This window comes from Homo sapiens, chromosome 12 (assembly GCF_000001405.40).
Source record: "Homo sapiens chromosome 12, GRCh38.p14 Primary Assembly".
NCBI lineage: Eukaryota > Metazoa > Chordata > Mammalia > Primates > Hominidae > Homo > Homo sapiens.
Window position 1 is genome coordinate 57,782,548 of NC_000012.12, and position 21,449 is coordinate 57,803,996.

Below are 21,449 nucleotides of genomic sequence, written 5' to 3' on the forward strand. Positions count from 1 at the left end.
GTGTTGTTGTTTTGTGACGACTTTATTTCTTGGTTTCTGTTATTTTACCTGGGGTGGGAGGTGGGGGGTAATTCCCGTATGAAATGTGTCGTCTCAAGAAATCAAGTAGAGGCGAGGACTGTGTTCCTCCGGCCAGCAGGTGGCACCATACTCGTTTGGTGCGTTCCGCTGGAGAATTCTGGCCCTTCCGCCGCGCCGTAGGTTTGTTGCCTCACCAGTGCGCCCGCCGGAGGGTGTTTATCGCGGCTAGAGAGATGTCGCTGCTGCGGTCGCTGCGCGTGTTTCTGGTCGCGCGGACCGGGAGCTACCCGGTGAGAAGTCCTGGTGCTGGTACCGACCTGCTGTCCCTGCAGCTCTCCTGTGCGCCTGTACCTTTCCCTTCCTCCCAACCTCGTTTGACTCCATCTCACCTTCCCCGACAGCATTGCCTCTGCCCAGTCCAGCCCCGGTGCACCCCCCTTTGCACACTGTCCGCTCCCTAAGGTCGCTTCCCTGCCCGTGTACCCTTCACCCTCTGGAGTTTGCTGCTTCCTGCTCCTCATCCCTTTCTTATCTCATCTAGGCTGGGTCTCTTCTGCGTCAGTCGCCCCAGCCAAGGCACACATTTTATGCTGGGCCCCGTCTGTCTGCCTCGGCCTCCAGCAAGGAGCTCCTCATGAAGCTGCGGCGGAAAACAGGCTACTCCTTTGTAAATTGCAAGAAAGCTCTGGAGACTTGTGGCGGGGACCTCAAACAGGTGTGTGTGTGGAGGGGTGCAGGGCGGAGTACTAGAGCTCGACCTCAGACTCTTGGGGCGGTCACGCTGGGGAGCATAAAGTTAGACTGCTCTTCAGTGACCATAATGGCACAGTCCTAAGTGGAAATCTGGCTTAAATGACAACCTTGGCCTTGACTTTGTCTTATTTGAAAGCAGTTGAGTATCCCAGGATTAACAAACCAGACTGTTACGGTGTTTCTTGTTGCCTGGAGCTGAAAGGGTTTGTGTGAGCTTTGGAGTCAGATTGTTCAGGAGTCAAATTGTGGGGCCCCCACACTGTCTGACTTTAGACTTTTTTTTTTTTTTTCAGACGGAGTCTTGCTCTGTGGCCCAGGCCGGCGTGCAATGGCACGATGTTGGCTCACTGCAACCTCCGCCTCCCGGGTTCAAGCGATTCTCCTGCCTCAGCCTCCTGAGTAGTTGGGATTACAGGCGTGCGCCACGACACCCGGCTATTTTATTTTTTATTTTTTATTTTTTTTTGTATTTTTAGTAGAGATGGGGTTTCGCCGTGTCGGCCAGGCTGGTCTCGAACTCCTGGCCTCAGGTGATCCGCCCGCCTCGGCTTCCCAGAGTGGTGGGATTACAGGAGTGAGCCACCGCGCCCGGCTGACTTTAGACATCTTAATCTTTCAGAGTTGTGTAGTTTTTGCCTGTACGGTCATGCGTCTCTTAATAGGAAGATACATTCTGAGAAATGGCGTCGTTAGGAGATTTTGGCTTATGCACATCATAGAGTACCTACACAAACCTAGATGGTATATTGTACTACAACCTGGGCTATATGGAATTGCCAGCTGCTCCTAGGCTACAAACCGTTACAAAATGTTACTGGACTGAATACTGTAGGCAGTTGTAACACAGTGGTAAGTATTGTGTATCTAAACATAGAAAAAGTACAGTAAATAGGCATAAAAGATAAAAAACGATACATCTCCATAGGGAACTTATCATGTATGGAGCTTGCAGGACTGGAAGTTGCTCTGGGTGAGTCAGTGAGTGGTGAGTGAATATGAAGGCCTGCCTTAGGACACTATGGTGCACTATAGTAGACGTTAAAGCACAGTACACATAAGCTACATTACATTTATAAGAAATTTTTTTCTGTGATAATAAGTTAACCTTAGTTTAATGTAACATTTTTATTTTATAAACTTTTAACATGTTTTAAATTTTTGGACTCTTTTGTAATAACAGCATAAAACACATATTGTACAGCTGTACCAAAATATTTTTCTTTATGCACTTTTTCTGTGAGCTTTTTTCTGTTTTTAAAATTTTAAACTTTTTTTGGCTGGGCGTGGTGGCTCATGCCTGTAATCTCAGAACTTTGGGAGGCTGAGGCAAGCGGATCACCTGAGGTTGCGAGTTCGAGACTAGCCTGACCCACACGGAGAAACCTCGTCTCTACTAAAAAAAAATAAAATTAGCCTGGTGTGGTGGCAAGGGCCTGTAATCCCAGCTACTCGGGAGGCTGAGGTAGGATAATCTCTTGAACCCAAAAGGCGGAGGTTGTGGTGAGCCGAGATCGTGCCATTGCACTCCAGCCTGGGCAATAAGAGTGAAACTCTGTCTCAAAAAAAAAAACAACAACTTTTTTTATTGAAATATCTTTTTTTTTTTTTTTTTTTTTTTTTTTTGAGACAGAGTCTTACTCTGTCCCCCAGGCTGGACTGCAGTGGCACAATCTTGGCTCACTGCAAGCTCCACCTCCCAGGTTCACACCATTCTCCTGCCTCAGCCTCCTGAGTAGCTGGGACTACAGGCGCCCGCCACCACGCCCGGCTAATTTTTTGTATTTTTAGTAGAGACAGGGTTTCACCGTGTTAGCCAGGATGGTCTCGATCTCCTGACCTTGTGATCCGCCCACCTCAGCCTCCCAAAGTGTCGGGATTACAGGCGTGAGCCACAGCGCCTGGCCAAAACTTTTTTTAAGTTAAAAAATTGTTTTGTTAAAAACGGAGACACAAACACATACATTAGCCTAGGCCTACACAGGAGTGGCATCATCATTAACACTGTGTTCCACTTTCACATCTTGTCCTGCTGGAAGGTCTTCAGGGGCAGTAACGGGCATGGACCTGTCATCTCCTATGATAACAATGTTTTTTTCTGGAATACCTCTTGAAGGACCTGCCTGAAGCTGTTTTACTGTTAAATTTTTTTATTTTTTATTTTTTTGAGACGGAGTCTCACTTTGTCACCCAGGCTGGAGTGCAGTGGCGCGATAGATCTTGGTTCACTGCAACCTCCGCCTCCCGGGTTCAAGAAATTCAGCCACCCGAGTAGTTTATAAGTTGGAGTACACTCTAAAATAACAATAAAGCATATGTATTATAGTAAATACATAAGCCAGTAACATAGTTGTTCATTATTGTTTCAAGTATCATGTACTATATGTAATTGTATGTGCTATACTTTAATAGGACTGGCAGCACAGACGTTTTCTTTACACTAGCATTGCCACAAACATGTAGGTAATATGTTGCCCTACAATGTTAGGAGGACTACCGTGTCACTAGACAATAGGAATTTTTCAGCTCCATTATAATCTTAGGGACCGTCATCATATATGCAGTCCGTCATTGTCCAAAATATCGTTATGTGGTGCGTAACTGTATAAAGAAAATACAACTGTGTGCCCCATAGGGTTGTTGTGAAGATTAGATTCATCCAAGGCACCAGTTATAATAATACCTGGTATTTGGCATTTAGTGGTAGACTGCCAGTAAATGATAGATTACTTTAGTTTCTGTTAGAGAATTTAGAGAATCAGGAAACCTGAGTATATCTTAGAACTACATTTAGTGCTAAATTCTGTGACTTTGTTGTCTGCTCTTTTTCCTCTCAATTTACAGGCAGAGATCTGGCTCCACAAGGAGGCCCAGAAGGAGGGCTGGAGCAAAGCTGCCAAGCTCCAAGGGAGGAAGACCAAAGAAGGCCTGATTGGGCTGTTGCAGGAAGGAAACACAACTGTATTAGTAGAGGTGAGTTGTTGGAAATTCCAGATACCAAGAACAGCTGTCCCTTGGGTGTAAAGCTTGTAGTAGGCCCTAAAGGGGCCTGTTCTTGAAGAAGAGATCTGTTTAAGAACCATAAAGCGTAGTTGAAGTTAAACTCATGAAACCCTGGGTATTAGTTACGAATTCGTTTAAGTATAGAAATGTACTGGTGTGTTGATGAGAAATGGCCTGACAGTCTAGAATATTACTCCTGAATGTGAGTCTGGCACAGGCTTACACCTTGTCACTGATTGTTTCCTGGAACAGTTAGATTACAAGTTAATTATATTAATTGTTGCTGAATAGAGAGTAGGTATTTTAGAGGAGGTTTGGGGGCCATAATTGGTGAAGAGTCAGATGTGGATTAGTTTAGAGTGAGAGATGGGGATAAACAAGATAATAGCATAAGTGGTTTGGAGTTGGGATGGCTGGAGAATGAGGTGATGATGGTGTGCAGACATAGGTAAGTGGTGAACTTGTGGTGAGTCCTTCAGGACATTATTGAACCATCTTCTGAATATACAGGCTATTGCTAACTCACTGGCCCAACATAAATCACTTCATTCTGTTCCAGGCTAGGAGAGGAAGCGTAGCTTTAAAATTTTGGAGTCATTTTTTTTCCGTTGAGTCTGTAGCTTGTTCTATCAGTATCTTGATTTATTCTCCAGCCTTAAGGCACTTTTGGAAATTATCATTAAACAGCTTATACAGCTATATCAATTTGTTCCCACAGGTAAACTGTGAGACAGATTTTGTTTCTAGAAATTTAAAATTTCAACTGTTGGTCCAGCAAGTAGCCCTTGGAACCATGATGCATTGTCAGACCCTAAAGGATCAACCCTCTGCATACAGTAAAGTAAGTTTGGGATTTGTCTCCAGTGTGCTGAATTTGCTGTCCTCATTGGGTCTTTTGCTGTTCCTATTGTAGACATTCTCATGTCTCATTCTGTTACTTCACATCTCTGCTTAAATGCTATCTCTTTGCATAGAATTACCCTTCCCCCGTTGCTATATCCCCGTGTCATGCTGCATTTAAAATTTTTTATTATGGTGCTTATATATTACATTTTAATTTATCTGTGTGTTGTCTATCTTCCCCAGCAGAATGTAAGCTTTATGAGGCAGGGAATTTGTCTTTTCACTGTTGTATCTCTGGTGAAAGAGAATTGGGCCCACTACTTAGTTGGAGCTCAGTAAATCTTTGTCAGATGAATGAATGAATGATTGAATGCATGCATGCCAGTGAAATGGAGTTAGCCAGATCAAGTGAAGCCATTTGAGGCTTTGTGTTCAGAAATTTGGAATGGTCTTAGGAAAGAATTTCTAAATAAAGAGATTGGAGCCAGGTGTGGTGGCTCACCCCTGTAATCCCAGCACTTTGGGAGGCCGAGGCAGGCAGATCACCTGAAGTCGAGAGTTCAAGACCAGCCTGACCAACATGGAGAAACCCGTCTCTACTAAAAATACAAAATTAGCTGGGCGTGGTGGCGCTTGCCTGTAATCCCAGCTACTTGGGAAGTTGAAGCAGGAGAATCGCTTGAACCCGGGAGGTAGAGGCTGCAGTGAGCCGTTGTACTCCCCCCGGGCAATAAGAGCAAAACTCCGTCTCAGAAAAAAAAAAAGAGAGAGAGATTGGAAAAGACATGGTTTAGGAAAATAAGCATATTCTTATCCATAGAGGGATCAAGGAAAGGAATTATGTCATTCTGCCTTTGACTCAGCCTTATTGCCAAGGCAAAGATGAACCAACCACTCACAGTAATTTTTTTGAGTTTATTACCAACTTTTTTTATCTTCTTTATCCTTCTCTTGAGATGTCTTGGTAAATGTTAATTATTATTGGCATTACATAGTCATATGGAAAACAATGTTGAGATTATTTTTTTTAATTGTATTGAGTAGGTAAGTCACTTGAACTAGAAATTTTAGCTTTGATTTTGCCAGTAAACACCAGTGTACCCTTTTTTTTTTTATTTTTGTTTTTGTTTTTTGAGATGAAGTCTTGCTCTGTCACTCAGGCTGGAGTGCAGTGGTGCAATCTTGGCTCACTGCAACCTCCACCTCCTGGGTTCAAGCAATTCTGCATCAGACTCCCGAGTAGCTGGGACTACAGGCGCCCGCCACCACACACGCCTAGTATTTGTATTTTTTGTAAAGACAGAGTTTCACCATGTTGGCCAGGCTGGTCTTGAACTCCTGACCTCAAGTGATTCGCCCGCCTCCGCCTCCCAAAGTGCTGGGATTACAGGCGTGAGCCACCATGCCTGGCCCCAGTGTACTCTTTTTCCAGATTTGCCATTTATTAACATTTTGCTGTATTTGCTTTATCACTTCTTTTTTTCTTTAAGAGACAGATCTGGCTTTCTTGCCCAGCCTGGAGTGCAGTGGCACAATCATTGTTCACTGCTGCCTCAAATTCCTGGGCTCAAGTGATCTTCCCACCTCAGACTCCTGAGTAGCTGGGACTACATGTGCACACCACTATGCTAGGCTCATTTTTAAGTTTTTTGTAGAGACAGTCTTGCCATCTTGCCCAGGCTGGTCTCAAACCTCTGGGCTCAAGAAATCCACCTGCTTTGGCCTCCCAAAGTGTTGGGATTATAGGCTTGGGTCACTACAGCTGGCCCTATCACTTTTTATATACATGTTATCATCGCCCTTTTTTTTTTTTTTTTTTGAGATGGAGTCTCTCTGTCACCCAGGCTGGAGTGCAATGGTGCCATCTCGCTCACTGCAACCTCTCCCTCCCAGTTCAAGCGATTCTTCCACCTCAGCCTCCCAAGTAGCTGGGATTACAGGCACCTGCCATCATGCCCGGCTAATTTTTTTTGTATTTTTGTAGAGACGGGAGTTTCACCATGTTGGCCAGGCTGGTCTTGACTCCTGACCTCAGGTGATCTGCCCACCTGGGCCTCCCAAAGTGCTGGGATTACAGGCGTGAGCCACTGCACCCGGTCATCATCACTGTTTAAAAAAAATCTTTTTGTAAGTATGTTGCAGACATCAGGATCCTTTATTCCTTCAGCATGTATCTCGTAAAAACAAGGACATTGTTATATAACCACAGGACAGTGATCACATTTAGGATTTTTTTTTCTTTGAGACGGAGTGCAGTGTTGTGATCTCAGCTCACTGCAACCTTCACCTCCTGGGTTCGAGCAATTCTTATGCTTCAGCCTCCTGAGTAGCTAGGATTATAGGCATGCATTACTACTTCCAGCTAATTTTTTTGTGTTTTTAGTAGAAATGGGGTTTTGCCATGTTGGTCAGGCTGGTCTCGCACTCCTGACCTCAGGTGATCTGCCCGCCTTGGCCTCCCAGAGTGCTGGGATTACAGGCGTGAGCCACCGCACCCAGCCAAAATGTGTTAGTTTTAGTAGTTGTCATTCTACTGTTAGAAATAAATTTCCCTTCTCATTTTTATTTAGTGATTTATTCAGCACTAACATTGACTCGTGGGTTCTTATTTTATACAATAAGTTATAACTCATTATTCGTTTTGATGCTCAAATTATCTGCGGATTTGATCAATGCAAGCTGACTGTAATGTCCTTTGATATGCCCTTATTATTTTCTGAGTATTTTCTTACTTTTTGGCTTTTTTGTTTATTCTTATCTTTTGGGTTTATGTCATACTTTCCTTTCCCCAACTGTGGAATGGGCCACTTCTTCAAGGAGTCCTGGTCCTTTTTAGTTGGGGAATGGTTTTTAGAAATCAAGATTTGAATGTTAGGTGTGCTGATTTCTTTCTTTCTTTTTTTTTTTTTTTTTTTTTGAGACAGAGTGTTGCTGTGTAGCCCAGGCTGGAGTGCAGTGGCGCGATCTTGGCTCGCTGCTACCTCTGCCTCCTGGGTCCCGGTTCAAGCAGTTCTCCTGCCTCAGCCTCCCGAGTAGCTGGGATTACAGGCACGTGCCACCATACCCAGCTAATTTTTGTATTTTCAGTAGAGACAGGGTTTCACCATGTTGGGCAGGCTGGTCTTGAACTCCTGACCTCGTGATCCACCCATCTTGGCCTCCCAAAGTGCTGGGATTACAGGCGTGAACCACTGCGCCTGGCCAGGTGTGCTGATTTCTACTGAGATGTCATTTGTTCTTCGAGCAGACAGTGCAGGTGTATGTGCTGTGTGCGTGTGGTTCAATCCTTCCTTTTTCATAGCAACTTCAATATGTTTACTGTTTTTAGTTATGTACTCATATGTACTAAGTGTTACAATATATATACAAAATTGTTTCAGAATTGCTACCCCTGACCACTGCAAATAACAAAACTACTAAGGAGTTCAAGATTTATTTGTAGTTCTTTTTGTCTTTACATTGAAGTTAGGTGGTCAAATGACTCCGTTTAGTTATTTGGATTTTTTTTTTCCTTCTGTGAGCTTATGTTACTCATTTGAAATATAGTTTTATATTTCTTTGTAGTCAGTATTTATTTTCACCCCAAGTATGTGTTGATTTAATTTTATTTTAATTTTATTTTTTAAATGTGTGTTTTTTTTTTTGGCTGGGCACAGTGGCTCATGCCTGTAATTCCAGCACTTCGGGGTTTTTTGTTTGTTTTTTAAATCTTTTTTATATTAATAGAGATGAGGTTTCACCATATTGGCCAGGCTGGTCTCAAACTCCTGGCTTCAAGTGATCTGCCTGACTTGGCCTCCTCAAAGTGCTGGATTATGGGCATGAGCCACGGCACTGGGCCAGATTTTTTTTTTTTTTTTTTAAGATGGAGTTTCACTCTCATTAGCCAGGCTGGAGTGCAATGGCATGATCTCAGCTCACTACAGCCACCGCCTCCTGGGTTCAAGTGATTCTCCTGCCTCAGCCTCCTGAGTAGCTGAGATTATAGGTGCCCGCCACCACACCTGGCTAATTTTTGTATTTTTAGTAGAAATGGGGTTTCACCATGTTGGCCAGGCTGGTCTCGAACTCCTGACCTTAGGTGATCCACCCGCCTCAGCCTCCCAAAGTGCTGAGATTACAGGCGTGGGCCACCGCGCCCGGCCGGCCAGGTTCAATTTTATTTTTGAATACATAAGATACATTAAGAAAGTCCTCAAAGTTAAAACTGTCAAAAAAAAAGTATGCTCAGAGGAGTCTTACTGCTTCTCTCCCTTCTACCCCGTTCCTATCCATCCCTTTATTTAGATAACCAGTGTCATTGGATTGTGGTTATCCTTTCAGTATTTCTTTTTGCAAAAATAAGCATATTTATACAAATAGTTCTTTGTTGCACAGATAGTAGTATAATATGCATATACACTTATAATCTGCTTTTTTCACTTAATAATATGTCCTGGAAATACTCCATAGCAATTCATGAAGGTCATCCTTTTTATTTTTTCCAACTACATAGTATTCTGTTGTGTGGATGTGCTATAGTTTAATCTCCTGCTATGTTTGGGCATTTAGGCTGTTTTTAAAATTTTCTGATTAGAAATAATTGTTCAATGAATAATCTTGTGCAGTATTATTGGAAGTATATCATCAAGGTGAATTCATAGAAATAGGATTTCAGGGTCAAAGGATAAATGCATATGTAGTTTTATTAGATACTACAACTTCACACCATTGGATTTGTACCATTTTGCATTCCCATCAAAAATGTGCAAATCTAGCTCTAACATTTTATGATTTTATGAAAATATTGTTCTTGGCCAGGTGCAGTGGCTCACGCCTGTAAACCTAGCACTTTGGGAGGCTGAAGCAGGTGGATCACTTGAGGTCAGGAGTTCAAGACCAGCGTGGCCAACATGGTGAAACCCTGTCTCCACTAAAAAAGATATAAAAATTTGCCAGGCATGGTGGCGCATGCCTGTAGTCCCATCTACTCGGGAGGCTGAGGCAGGAGGATCGCTTGAACCCGGGAGGTGGAGGTTGCAGTAAGCTGAAATCATGCCACCGCACTCCAGCCTGGGCGGCAGAGCGAGACTCCATCTCAAAAAAAAGAAAAAACTGTTCTTGGCCAGGTGCAGTGGCTTACGCCTGTAATCCCAACACTTTGGGAGACTGAAGCAGGAGGATCTCTTAAGCTAAGAGTTCAAGACCAGCCTGAGCAACATAGGGAAACCCCATCTCTATATTTAAAAGAAAAAGAAAATAATTGTTCTTGATTTCTAGGAAATTACATTCTAGGAAGTTAGGCTGGAGGATGAGAGTGGAATGTAATTGGGGGTGGTGCAGTGATAGAATAAAATGTTTATAAAGATGGAACTGTTACCAATTTTTAACATTCTTGCCTTTATGAAAATATTGTCTACACTTAGTTGTCTTAAAGAATGTTTTCTTTCTTTCTTTTTTTTTTTTGAGATGGAGTCTCAATTCTGTTTCCCCGGCTGGAGTGCATTGGCATAATCTGAGCTCAGTGCAACCTCCGCCTCCCAGGTTTAAGCGATTCTCACGTCTCAGGCTCCCCAGTAGCTGGGATTACAGGCGTGTGCCACCATGCCCAACTAATTTTTGTATTTCGTTGGAGACGGGGTTTCACCATGTTTGCCAGGCTGGTCTCAAACTCCTGACCTCAGGTGATCCACCCACCTTGGCTTCCCAAAGTGTTGGGATTACAGGCGTGAGCCACCACGCCTGGCCAATACTTTTCTTAGAGATAGACTATTTTTGCCTATTCTTTTGATAATTTGAATAGTACAGAATCAGTTCATGTTTGTTTTCTTCGTGCACTTAGGGTTTCTTGAATTCCTCTGAGCTTTCTGGACTTCCAGCTGGGCCTGACAGAGAAGGCTCACTCAAGGATCAGTTGGCTTTAGCAATTGGTGAGTATTTGTAAAGGTTCTGGAAACTGGAAATTAGGGACTGGATCTCTTGTTATCTTGTTCCTCCAAATCTAGGTCAAGAATCATGTGCCTACAAGGGTCAGATGATACGAACGTGAGAAGTGGTGTGTGTGTTAGATGTTAGGGAACATTAGGCATCTTTTTTTTTTCCGAGACAGAGTCTTGCTCTGTTGCCCAGGCTGGAGTGCAGTGGCGCAATCTCGGCTCACTGCAAGCTCCGCCTCCCAGGTTCCTGCCTCAGCCTCAGCCTCCCGAGTAGCTGGGACTACAGGCGCCTGCCATCACGCCTGGCTAATTTTTTGTATTTTTAGTAGAGACAGGGTTTCACCGTGTTAGCCAGGATGGTCTTGATCTCCTGACCTCGTGATCCGCCCGCCTCGGCCTCCCAAAGTGCTGGGATTACAGGCGTGAGCCACCGCGCCCGGCCACATTAGGCATCTTAAAGAGCTCATACGCTGCTGGAGGAAGTCCCATTGCCAAGCTGTAACCAATTGTTATATCTAGGGAAACGGAGTCCTGGGGTCATCAGAATTTCTAAATTCCTTAAAAGAATTTAGATTTGTATCCAAAATCTCACGGATTTTGGCTGTTTGCAACTAATTAAAATTATTTTCATCACTGTGCCAACAAAACAAAGCATGTCTTTAGGCAGAGATGGCCTTTTGACTTCCAGCTGAGTACTTGAGTATATGCTGTAGGGAAAATAGTACATTAAAGATTATTTCCTCTTCTTTATAAAAGGTGGCAGGACAATTGAGGAGCATTGTTTTTAGGAATTTGATCTTTCTTTTCAAAAAATCTGGTTGTGAATTTGTAAAGATACATTCTTTTAGAGCCTGTTGGCTATAGGAACCACATCTGGATCATTGTGGTGGGACTAGCATCTTGCTTTCTTCCTAAGTATCCTTGATGGAGGGTGGGTGGTAGGGAAGGGTTGGAGCTTGCTGGGAATTTACTAATCTGAAGTTTCCAGTCAAGGCATCAGTTCCGTTTTTATCAGGTCATCTTGTATTATCTATGATGTTTCAATGAGTCATGGGTGAGAAACCAGGCAGACAGCTATGTATGAGGCTTATTAAGAAATTCTGGAAGAGCTGGGTGTTTCAGCCTTGTCAGTTTCTGGGAATTAACTATTGGGTATATGCTTTGAGCTATTTTAAAATTTGTTTTGGTTTCTGGATTCTCCTTTTTCATGACTTTTAGATATGACTATGGCTAATCCAGGCATACTTATACAGACCCTTTTGTTTATTCTCCTACCCCTTTTTACCTTTTGGCTTATTTGGACTTCTGTTAGAAGAGAATAACATCCTGAGAGAAAGGGGAAAAATAAGTTAAAATCTGTTTCTGGTTCTCATAAATAACTCTTGACAATGTTATCTTTTCTGTTTTTGATGAGAGGAAATTGAAACTATCCGATGACATGGTGCTTTGAGCTGTGGACTTTTTCCGGATAGAAGGGATGATCAGGAGTTGTCTGTGTCAGTTATGGAGTATTCAGGATGGTGGGAAAAAGCACCTAATTGCTTTGGAGTCAGATCTGAGTTTTAATTCTAACTCTGCCTTGTGTTACTAGGTGGGTTACCTAAGTTCTCTAAGCCTAAGCTTATTGTAATAGTAGCTAGCATTTGAGTGCTATGTGCCAGATACTATAGTTAATGCTTTATTTATTTATTTATTTTTGAGACGGAGTCTTGCTCTGTTGCCCAGGCTGGAGTGCAGTGGCACAATCTCGGCTCACTGCAAGCTCTGCCTCCCGGGCTCACGCCATTCTCCTGCCTTAGCCTCCTGAGTAGCTGGGACTGTAGGTGCCCGCCAGCACGCCCGGCTAATTTTTTGTATTTTTAGTAGAGACGGGGTTTCACCGTGTTAGCCAGGATGGTATCGATCTCCTGACCTTGTGATCCGCCCACCTCGGCCTCCCAAAGTGCTGGGATTACAGGCGTGAGCCACCGCACCCAGCCCTAGTTAATGCTCCATATATATATATATATGTATATATATATATAAATTTTTTTTTTTGAGATGGAGTTTTGCTCTTGTTGCCCAGGCTGGAGTGCAATGGCATGATCTCGCTCGCTGTAACCTCTGCTGCCCAGGTTCAAGCAATTCCTCTGCCTCAGCCTCCCGAGTAGCTGGGATTACAGGCATGTGCCACCATGCCTGGCTAATTTTTTGTATTTTTAGTAGAGACGGGGTTTCTCCATGTTGGTCAGGCTGGTCTCAAACTCACAACCTCAGGTGATCTGCCTGCCTCGGCCTTCCAAAGTGCTGGGATTACAGGCGTGAGCCACCACGGCTGGCTGCTTTTACATATATTATTTATTTCTCCCCAAAACCCTGAAAGGTAGGTGGTGTCATCTCTATTTTAAAGGTGAGGAAACAAAGGCTTGATAAATTTAGTAAATGAGATTATGTCATTGAGTCACTTGCCCGAGGTCATATAGTCAGTAAATAGGCAGAACTGAGACCTGAGTCACACATACTTGTGTCACCACAACCTATACAACCTATGTTTGTTGTTTTTTTTGTTTTTTTTGTTTTTGGAGAGAGTCTTGTTCCCAGGATGGACTGCAATGGTACGATCTCGGCTCACTGCAACCTCCGCTTCCTGGGTTCAAGTGATTCTCCTGCCTCAGCCTCCTGATTAGTTGGGATTACAGGTGCACACCACCACGCCCAGCTGATTTTTGTATTTTTAGTAGAAACAGGGTTTCATCCATGTTGGCCAGGCTGGTCTTGAATTCCTGACCTCAGGTGATCTACCCGCTTCAGCCTCCCAAAGTGCTGGGATTACAGACGTGAGCCACTACACCCGGCCTGTTTTTAAGTACCAGAGTGCCTGGCACATAGTTGGTGCTTCATAAAGGTATTCTTCACTTCCCCCACTCCCGCTCTCCTGCCCCATACCCCTTTTCCTCTTTCTACAAAAACTGAAAATGGTATCTCTTCATCTTACTGCATATCCTATGTAAATGCAAAGGGACTGTCTTCCAAACTGGGCCTCTTCTGTGCATATTTTGGTACCATCACAGACATCACAATTTGTTGGTGTGTTGGTTTTTTGTTTTTGCTTTAATAGGAAAACTGGGAGAAAACATGATTCTTAAACGAGCTGCATGGGTGAAGGTGCCATCTGGGTTCTACGTTGGCTCTTATGTCCACGGAGCAATGCAGAGTCCCTCACTTCACAAGCTGGTGCTGGGGAAGTATGGGGCCCTGGTCATCTGTGAGACGTCTGAACAGAAAACAAACCTTGAAGACGTTGGCCGCCGCCTTGGGCAGCATGTGGTGGGCATGGCCCCCCTCTCTGTTGGCTCCCTGGACGATGAGCCTGGGGGAGAGGCAGAGACTAAGATGCTGTCCCAGCCGTATTTGCTGGATCCCTCCATTACCTTGGGGCAGTATGTGCAGCCTCAGGGGGTGTCGGTAGTAGACTTTGTGCGGTTTGAATGTGGAGAAGGTGAAGAGGCAGCAGAAACTGAATAGGTTCCAGAGACTTTTGGCCCAGGAGGAATATTTACTTTTAGCTCTGGACATCATTACAAAAAGGAATATTTCCCAAACCTCTTCAGACCGAGAATGCATGGGTAAAATTATTAAATAGTTGTATAATAAAAATAATTTTTTCCTTGTTTGCGTAATACTGGATTTAGCTTTTCTGTGCCTTTCAAAAACAACAGGTGGGCCTTATTGACGTGATAGTGTCGTGGAGAACAGGCATCAACAATACTGCTGCTCCCTTCAACATAGATTTATTATGGTATTTCTGAAATTTCTAACTTATATGTTCTGTCTTACACCTTTTATGACATAGAACTCTTTTGTTCTGTTTTTGCTTTGCGACACTGTGAACCGTGCTTCTGCCTCGGAACCTCCCTAGTTATATTACTTGTGCCACATGGATTTCTTTAGGATTATTGATTCAAACCTAGAGTTGTCTGGAAAATGTGGGTTCTCTTCTTTGTGATTGTCTGTAGTATGCTTTGAAGGTGCTCTGCAGTGGTAGACACACTGGTTCTGGCCTCATTTAATGAAATTAATAACACATGCCCCTATTTCTCTTTTGGATGATGTGTGGGTGGGTGGGTACTGAGGTTTCCTGGCCAGCTGTAAGGCAGATTTTGACATTCTTGTGCCAGAAACAGAAATTAGAGTAGTCCAGTTACCCAGAGAGCTCACTTAACATTGCCTCTTTACTTCCCCAGTACTGAAACATTTCTTCAAGTATAACATAAAATTACCGTAACAAGCAGACCCAGAATACTGAAAATAACTCCATTTGTTCATTATAGGTATCTTTATTTGAAAAGTGAAAAATGCTTTGACACATTACAGATCTGGGTATTTGGATTTTGCCTATGGAGTGCATATATGATTTCAATGATTTACAGGCTAAATAGATTTTAGAAATAATCATCTTAAAATTGAAAACAAAGGTAGGTCCTGGTATAATATTAAACATAAAGTTATTAAACATTTTAAGCATTGTTTTTTGGTTCTCTTTCTTTTGATTTCTCCAGATTTATGCAGTTTTAGTGCTTTCTGCTGAGGCTTTAGCTAGAGGGCCACAAAACCCAAAAACTATATGGTTAACATTTTAGGTATATAACAAGCAAGGAATGCAAGGATGAGAAAAAATGGAGAACATGCCGTGATTTGCAGACTCTATTATATCTAAATTAAGTAGCTGAATGTCAGGCAGAAATTGGTGGATAAATTATTTCCTGATATTGGCACTATCTGCTCTTTTCTGTGGCCTTGCAATAGGTATAGGCCTTCTTGCTTTAGAAAAGCCCCTTTTCTTTCTTCATTTGGAGCTGTTTCCAGCCAGGCAGAGCTGCAAATTGCCCTCTTGTGATGCCAAACACAGACACAAAGTCCTGTTCAGAGAGGTAATTCTAAGAGAGAAAACAAAGTTTCTAGTTAGAAGGAAGACATGACATCATTGCCAACAGAAGTTGAGGAAGTTGGAGCAAGAGGGAGTTCTAGGTGGATCCTTGAAGAGGGAAGTAGAATGAATTTCTCAGAAAGGCTGTTAAAGATTTAAATTATTCATTGGAGAGGTGTTCTTCAGGTCAGGGAGTCCCATTTTGGCCTGTGGCAGAAGCTTACTGGATTCACTGCTCTCACAGTGCCAGCAAGCGCCAGTTTCTTGCCAGAAGGCAATAAATGGGTTATGTATTAAGGATGAATTACAGACATCAAATTTTGGCAGAATGAAGAACTAAATTGAGCTATGGTTTTCCTTGTTTTCTGCCCGTAACTACCATTTTTACCCATAAATTTTCAAATGCATGATCGGGTGGATCTTATTGAGCATAAAATTCTTCTACACATTTACTTAATGATTTATTGAATATTTATATACAAGTAAAGATTATTAATATATGGGCTTTGCTTTCAAGAAAATTGTAGTCCAGATACTTGAGTTGACTAGATAAGACATTGTGGGAAATCCAGAGTCCAGAGTCTGTGCCTAAATCAACTTCTTCAAGGGGAAAAGAAATTTATTCTTTTCTTTTCTTTTTTTTTTTTTTGAGACAGATTCTTGCTTTGTGGCCCAGGCTGGAGTACAGTGGCACAATCTCGGCTCACTGCAACCTCTGCCTCCCGGGTTCAAGCAGTTCTCCTCCCTCAGCCTCCCAAGTAGCTGGGACTACAGGCACCCACCACCACGCCTGGCTAATTTTTGTATTTTTAGTACAGACGGGGTTTCACCATATTGGCCAGGCCAGTCTCGAACTCCTGACCTCGTGATCCACCCACCTCACCCTCCCAAAGTGCTGGGATTACAGGTATGAGCCACCGTGCCCGGCCAAGAAATTTATTCTTTTAACTCAAATATGTTAATTCATTCACGCAAAACTTAAGAATACTTGCTATCTGCTAGGCACTGTTGTAGGTGCAGAGAAGCTGAGAATATGATGGTGAGCAAGACAAACAAAGGTCCTTCCTTTTAAGGATATTACTAGAGGGGGAAATAGGCAATGAACAAGTATAAAGGGACTGGAGCAGGTATGGGAAGCAGTATTAGGGTGGTCAGGAAATGCCTCCCTGGGGAGGTGATATTAGAGCTGAGACCTACATGATGAGAAGGTGCTGGTGCTGTGATGATTTGGGAGAAGGATGTTTTTTCAGGCACGAACACTAGCAAGTGTAAAGGCTCAAAGGCTGGAATAAGCATGTTTTAAGGAACAGCAAAGCAGCCGCTGTACTGGCTGAAGGGTGGTGAGTGATGAGGGTATTGGTATATGAAATGAAATCAGAGAGCTAGGCAGGGGCCAGATTGTATAGGCCTTCACATTCTTTTTTTAAATGTAGTGGGAAGCTATTCCAGGTGTTTTAAACAGGGCCGTGCCATATATTTTAAAGATCTCTTTGGCTGTTGTGTGGGGAACGGATTGTAGGAACAGGTGGAAACCAGTTGGATTGTAGTAAGTAGTCCATGATAGCTGGACTAGACTAGTAGCAGAGAAATGGAAGAGGAGTGAACAGAAGCTAGCTGATAGACTGATGTAGGTGGAGAGAAAAGAATCAAGAAAGAACCCTGGTTTTTTTTGGTTTGAGTTCCTAGGTAGCTCAGATGTCCATTGAGCGGCTACAATGTGCCGGAGCTGTCCTAGGCCATTTGCTGAGCTGAGTTTTTTACTCACGGAGAGCTCCACTTCCAACAGACACAGTTCCTTCAGCCACTCACCTCCTTTTTGGCAGGGTTTACATCCTCAGGCAGCTCCTGATTCTGGTTTTTCAACAGAACTGCTATAGGGTAATATTTTGGCTCACTGTCATTAGAATTCAGGGAGAGGGTTGCATTCTTCATGTCCTAGGTAAGATAAGAATGTAGGCACAGGGAAAAGACTCCTCAGTGTCTGTGTGGTTACAGTTCTGAATGTGTATAATATTTAACATTTTGACTTATGCCACTTCACCCTCTGTAATCATCTTTGATAACAATGCTCCCCAAACCTGGCTGCATGTCAGAATCATCTGGGAATAGAAAATATTCAGATTTTGGGGTTGTTCTTGGGAAAGCTGATTCAGTAAGTCCAAGGCAAGTCCTGTATAGCTAGTTTGGCATACATCTTGTGTCTGGATCTCATTTGAATATTGGGATCACATACCTTCTCTTGGTACTTTTATTTAGCCCTGCATTTCCAGCCTTTAAATGACTTTAGGTTGTAGTCCTACTTAAATACAATTTAAAGATACTACATCAACATTAGCTTTGGAATCTGAGTTTGTAGAGCACAAAGGACAGAATTGCCAGATGGTTTGAACACCTGGTGCCATGCACTCCTCCTGAGGTTAAAGAACTGCTGGATTCCTGGCTAGAGGCTCCACTTCTTTTAACCATTAAAATAGGTGTAAATGGCCTAAGTTTCTGTGGACTTCACTGTCAGAAATGAATAAAAATGTCATTTGGGTTAGAAGCTTATTTCTGAAAAATACTGCCAATGACTTTAATCTCTCCTTAAACGGCAGAGTTGAATAATAAAACAAATATTCATTTTTTTGTTGTTGTGTTTTTGAGACGGACTCTCGCTCTGTTGCCCAGGCTGGAGTGCAGTGGTGCCATCTCAGCTCACAGCAACTTCCGCTTCCTGGGTTCAAGCAGTTCTCCTGTCTCAGCCTCCCGAGTAGCTGGGACTACAGGCGCATGCCACCACGGCCGGCTAATTTTCATATTTTTAGTAGAGACGGGGTTTCACCATATTAGTCAGGCTGGTCTCAAACTCCTGACCTTAGGTGATCCACCCGCCTTGGCCTCCCAAAGTGCTGGGATTACAGGCATGAGCCACCGCGCCCGGCCCCATTTTTGTTGTTTTTACACAGCAAGTCTGTTTGAAAATCTGGAAGTCAGGAAAATAAGGAACTTGGCTCTGAGACCTGCTTTTCTATTGATTACAAAAAGTCTTTACATCAAAACAGACAACTATGGTAATACTAAGGACATGAGTTTTGCCTGTGAGCATCTGTAGCATTTGTGTGTTCTCTGGCTCTGGTTGCCCATGTGGCTGGCTTCTCCCAAGAGCGAACCCGACTCACAGCAGTGATTCGCATGATAGCAGCAGCATCTCCCAGCTCTTCTTTTAATTGTTCATATGTTTTTCCTGCCTGAGAAGAAGAGAGAGAAAACACAGGATGAGGTCTTTCTTATAGGGGAGGGACATCTTAGGTCTGGTCTGTGTCTTCAGGAAAAGCAAAAGAGCCAGGGAGTCAGAAGACATTTCAAGGATAAGTAAAAATGAAAATCCCCCCTTTTGGGTCCATGCAGGCTTGAAAGGTGCTTAAACATAACGCACATTCTTTGATGGTAACCCCTCAGTCCTCCCAATAAGATTTAAGAAAGAGCAGTTGAAGGCCAGGCACAGTGGCTCATGCCTGTAATCCCAGCACTTTGGGAGGCTGAGGCGGGTGGATCACCTGAGGTCAGGGGTTCAAGACTAGCCTGACTAACATGGTGAAACCCCATCTCTACTAAAAATAGAAAAATTAGCTGGGCATGGTGGTGCATGCCTATAATCCCAGCTACTTGGGAGGCTGAGGCAGGAGAATTGCTTGAACCCAGGAGGTAGAGGTTGCAGTGAGCCGAGATTGTGCCATTACACTCCAGCCTGGACAACAAGAGCGAAATTCTGTCTCAAAAAAAGAAAAAAAAAAGTTGATTAGGAGTCAGGAAACCTGGCTTTCTGTTGATTAACTGTGACTTTAGACAAATGACTTATCCTCTTAGCTTCCTTATCAATAAAATAGGGAGCAATACTTCTACTGGCTATCAGGATTGTTGTAAAGATCAAAAAGATGATGTGTATGGATATACTTTATAAACTGTTTATACTTCACACTGCTTATTGCTGACACCTGCTGTGAATTGTCCACCTGGACTTACTGCTGTGGCAGGTGAAAAAGAGGAGAAAAGTAAAAGGCAGGGAGTGGGATGGGAGTAGGGAAATGAGGTCCTGGTTTCACTGAGCCGTGAATCAGTACTCCACCTTCCTGCCCACTGAGCTGTTCTGAGCTACCTGGCAGGAAGTTAGAGCTTCCCTACTCTCTTTTCTTACACTCCAAATGTTAGGGTCCCAGGCTAGGAACCAGCCTGTGAAGATGGGAGGCTCAAACCCCTGCTTAATGATCAGGATTGGTGTGTCGGGATCTCGGCCGCTGGGGTGAGTGTGCAGGTACTGCTGTGCTGTGGCAAGGGCACTCTCCTTCTCCGTGGCATTGGCCTCAGCCCCAATCCACAAGAACACCTGTTAAGGTGGAGATTTAATATATGTTACTGTGTTCATACCAAGGACTAAGTACTAGATCATACACATTACCCTATCTTTCCCCTTTCTTTCGTGAGCAATTCACAGCCTCAGAAAACTTTCTCAGCCTAATTTGTTCAGCAGAGAAAGGTTTTCCCAGAATCAGCTTGATGTTTATCATTTTAATTGCTATGTGTATCTTCCAGGTCTGCCTTTCCAAATTGGAGCTGTCTCTGAACTTCAGCTTCCTGAATCCAACTTCTTGCAGAACACCTCCTCTTGACTGCTCTAAGCACCTTAAAAATAACACCTTCAGGATGTAGCTCTTCTTTACTAAACTTGTATCTGAGTCTCCACTTTTGATAGGTGGTATCTATCTAGTCACCTAAGGCAGAAGCCTGAGAGTTTCCTAGAAACCCCCCATATCCAATGAGTCACCAGGGCTGACCAACTTTACCTCCTAAGCATTTGTCAAATCTGTCACCATCCCTCCATCCCTACTCCACTGCCCTTATGTGGGCCCACAGTAGCTCTTACTTGACCATGACAATAGTCTACTGACTGCCTTTGTTCCCCCAAAGGCCCATATCCTCTGCATGTGGAGTCCGTTGCTATTGATCCTAAGACTAAAATGATGATAGGATGATGATAGGATGGCTGGATTTTTCCAAAGCAAGGTGGGAAAATGCCCAGGATGGTGAGTTTCAAACATCATTCTCAAACATCACCCCTGGAAAAAAAACCCGGGCTTTCTTTTGGTCACTGCTGACAAAGGTTTGATTGAGCTGGGGATGGTCCAGGGCTACCCTGGGTTTATTCTAGGGTGGGGATACTACACAAAAACAACCCTTACTGTGGGAGTCTTTCTCATGTTCTGACTTCTGCAGCTGTGTCTTACCTGGTCCCAGGTATCTAGGAGCATCACGTCAGTAGGGTTCAGGTCATCCTGGGTGAAGTCTGTGATCTCAGTGACAACGAATTGGCCGGTCTTATTGGAACATTCAAAGAGACGAGACTGGACATCTAGGATTTCCTGCTGAAGTCTGCAATATAGTCCATTTAAGGGCATCAAGCTGCTTAGAAATGTTTTTAAAACTGAGGTTTTAGCCTTTGTGCAATTCACAAGCCTGGCAGGCAGGGGGAGCCCAGAAGAGGGGGAGGCTGTGTTCCCATACCTTTTATCATTGGCATAGGGAGTTTTCCCTCCCAGTAGGTCCCAGAACTCGGCTGGCTCCTGGCCCTCGGCCACAGTGTTCTCGCTGCCATCACAGAGAAGGCTGGCCAGCTCCTTAGCCATTGCCCGCTCATCCCCACTAGACCCCTGAGAGTGGGGCGAGGAGAGCACAGATGTTAGTTGCACAGGGGCACTTCGATGTGGAAAGAAAAGCATCTGAGACTAATAACTCAGTGTGCCAGGATCAGCTACCAAACCACAGTCCCTCAGCCTGGGAAGACAGACAAGTTTGTTCTAGTGCTGGGGAGTGGGGAGGAAAACAGTGTGGGGCAAAGAACAGGACTAGGCTTTGAAACCCACAGTGGGTGTTGGCAAAAGTCACCTTTGTTTCAGCTTCAGTTTGAATTTAGGCACCTACTTTTGATTTTTATTTTAGAGAAAAAATTTAAATTTATTTTTAAAAGTACATACAAT

General features: G+C 43.6%; 2 protein-coding genes across 13 annotated transcripts in view, besides 2 other annotated features; one reads left to right on the forward strand and one right to left on the reverse strand.

The window, feature by feature from the left end:
- Positions 1 to 870: an enhancer, noted in NCBI's record as "H3K27ac-H3K4me1 hESC enhancer chr12:58176331-58177200 (GRCh37/hg19 assembly coordinates)". NCBI's record gives its function as "activates a minimal SCP1, AML or CMV promoter by ChIP-STARR-seq in primed H9 embryonic stem cells {active_cell/tissue: H9 hESC(primed)}" and the evidence as "EXISTENCE:reporter gene assay evidence [ECO:0000049][PMID:30033119]".
- Positions 224 to 293: an enhancer, noted in NCBI's record as "active region_6559". NCBI's record gives its function as "activates an Ori minimal core promoter by ATAC-STARR-seq in GM12878 lymphoblastoid cells {active_cell/tissue: GM12878}" and the evidence as "EXISTENCE:reporter gene assay evidence [ECO:0000049][PMID:35858748]".
- On the forward strand, positions 240 to 20,309 carry TSFM (Ts translation elongation factor, mitochondrial). 4 transcript variants are annotated; one of them, NM_001172696.2, is made up of 7 exons: positions 240 to 311; positions 563 to 736; positions 3,616 to 3,744; positions 4,493 to 4,615; positions 9,418 to 9,480; positions 10,439 to 10,526; positions 13,630 to 15,040. In NM_001172696.2, exons 1-7 carry the CDS (start codon positions 255 to 257, stop codon positions 14,034 to 14,036), a joined length of 1,041 nt encoding a protein of 346 aa, NP_001166167.1. In that variant the 5' UTR covers positions 240 to 254; the 3' UTR covers positions 14,037 to 15,040. The 4 variants fall into 4 exon arrangements, with proteins under 4 accessions (NP_001166167.1, NP_001166168.1, NP_005717.3 ...); NM_001172697.2 differs by lacking the exons at positions 9,418 to 9,480; positions 13,630 to 15,040 and adding an exon at positions 20,008 to 20,309; NM_005726.6 differs by lacking the exon at positions 9,418 to 9,480.
- Positions 14,833 to 21,449, reverse strand: part of AVIL (advillin) — a 21,355-nt gene continuing 14,738 nt past the window's right edge. For 6 of the 9 annotated variants that reach the window (XM_047428110.1, XM_047428113.1, XM_047428112.1 and 3 more), the window contains 5 exons: positions 20,700 to 21,122; positions 19,613 to 19,801; positions 18,597 to 18,665; positions 17,248 to 17,373; positions 14,833 to 15,448 (listed from right to left, as the gene is read on the reverse strand). In XM_047428110.1, coding sequence (XP_047284066.1) covers positions 15,335 to 15,448; positions 17,248 to 17,373; positions 18,597 to 18,665; positions 19,613 to 19,801; positions 20,700 to 21,122 — 921 coding nt within the window. In that variant the 3' untranslated portion in view covers positions 14,833 to 15,334. Of the gene's footprint in view, positions 15,449 to 17,247; positions 17,374 to 18,596; positions 18,666 to 19,612; positions 19,802 to 20,406; positions 21,123 to 21,449 lie in introns of those variants that run through there. The other 3 variants (NM_006576.4, XM_047428114.1, XM_047428115.1) reach the window with 2 other exon arrangements.

Coding starts and splice junctions, on each gene's coding strand:
- TSFM (NM_001172696.2), top strand. CDS start 255: ATGTCGCTGCTGCGGTCGCTGCGCGTGTTTCTGGTCGCGCGGACCGGG. Junction 312..562: donor CGCGGACCGGGAGCTACCCG/GTGAGAAGTCCT, acceptor TATCTCATCTAG/GCTGGGTCTCTTCTGCGTCA. Junction 10,527..13,629: donor TCAGTTGGCTTTAGCAATTG/GTGAGTATTTGT, acceptor TTGCTTTAATAG/GAAAACTGGGAGAAAACATG.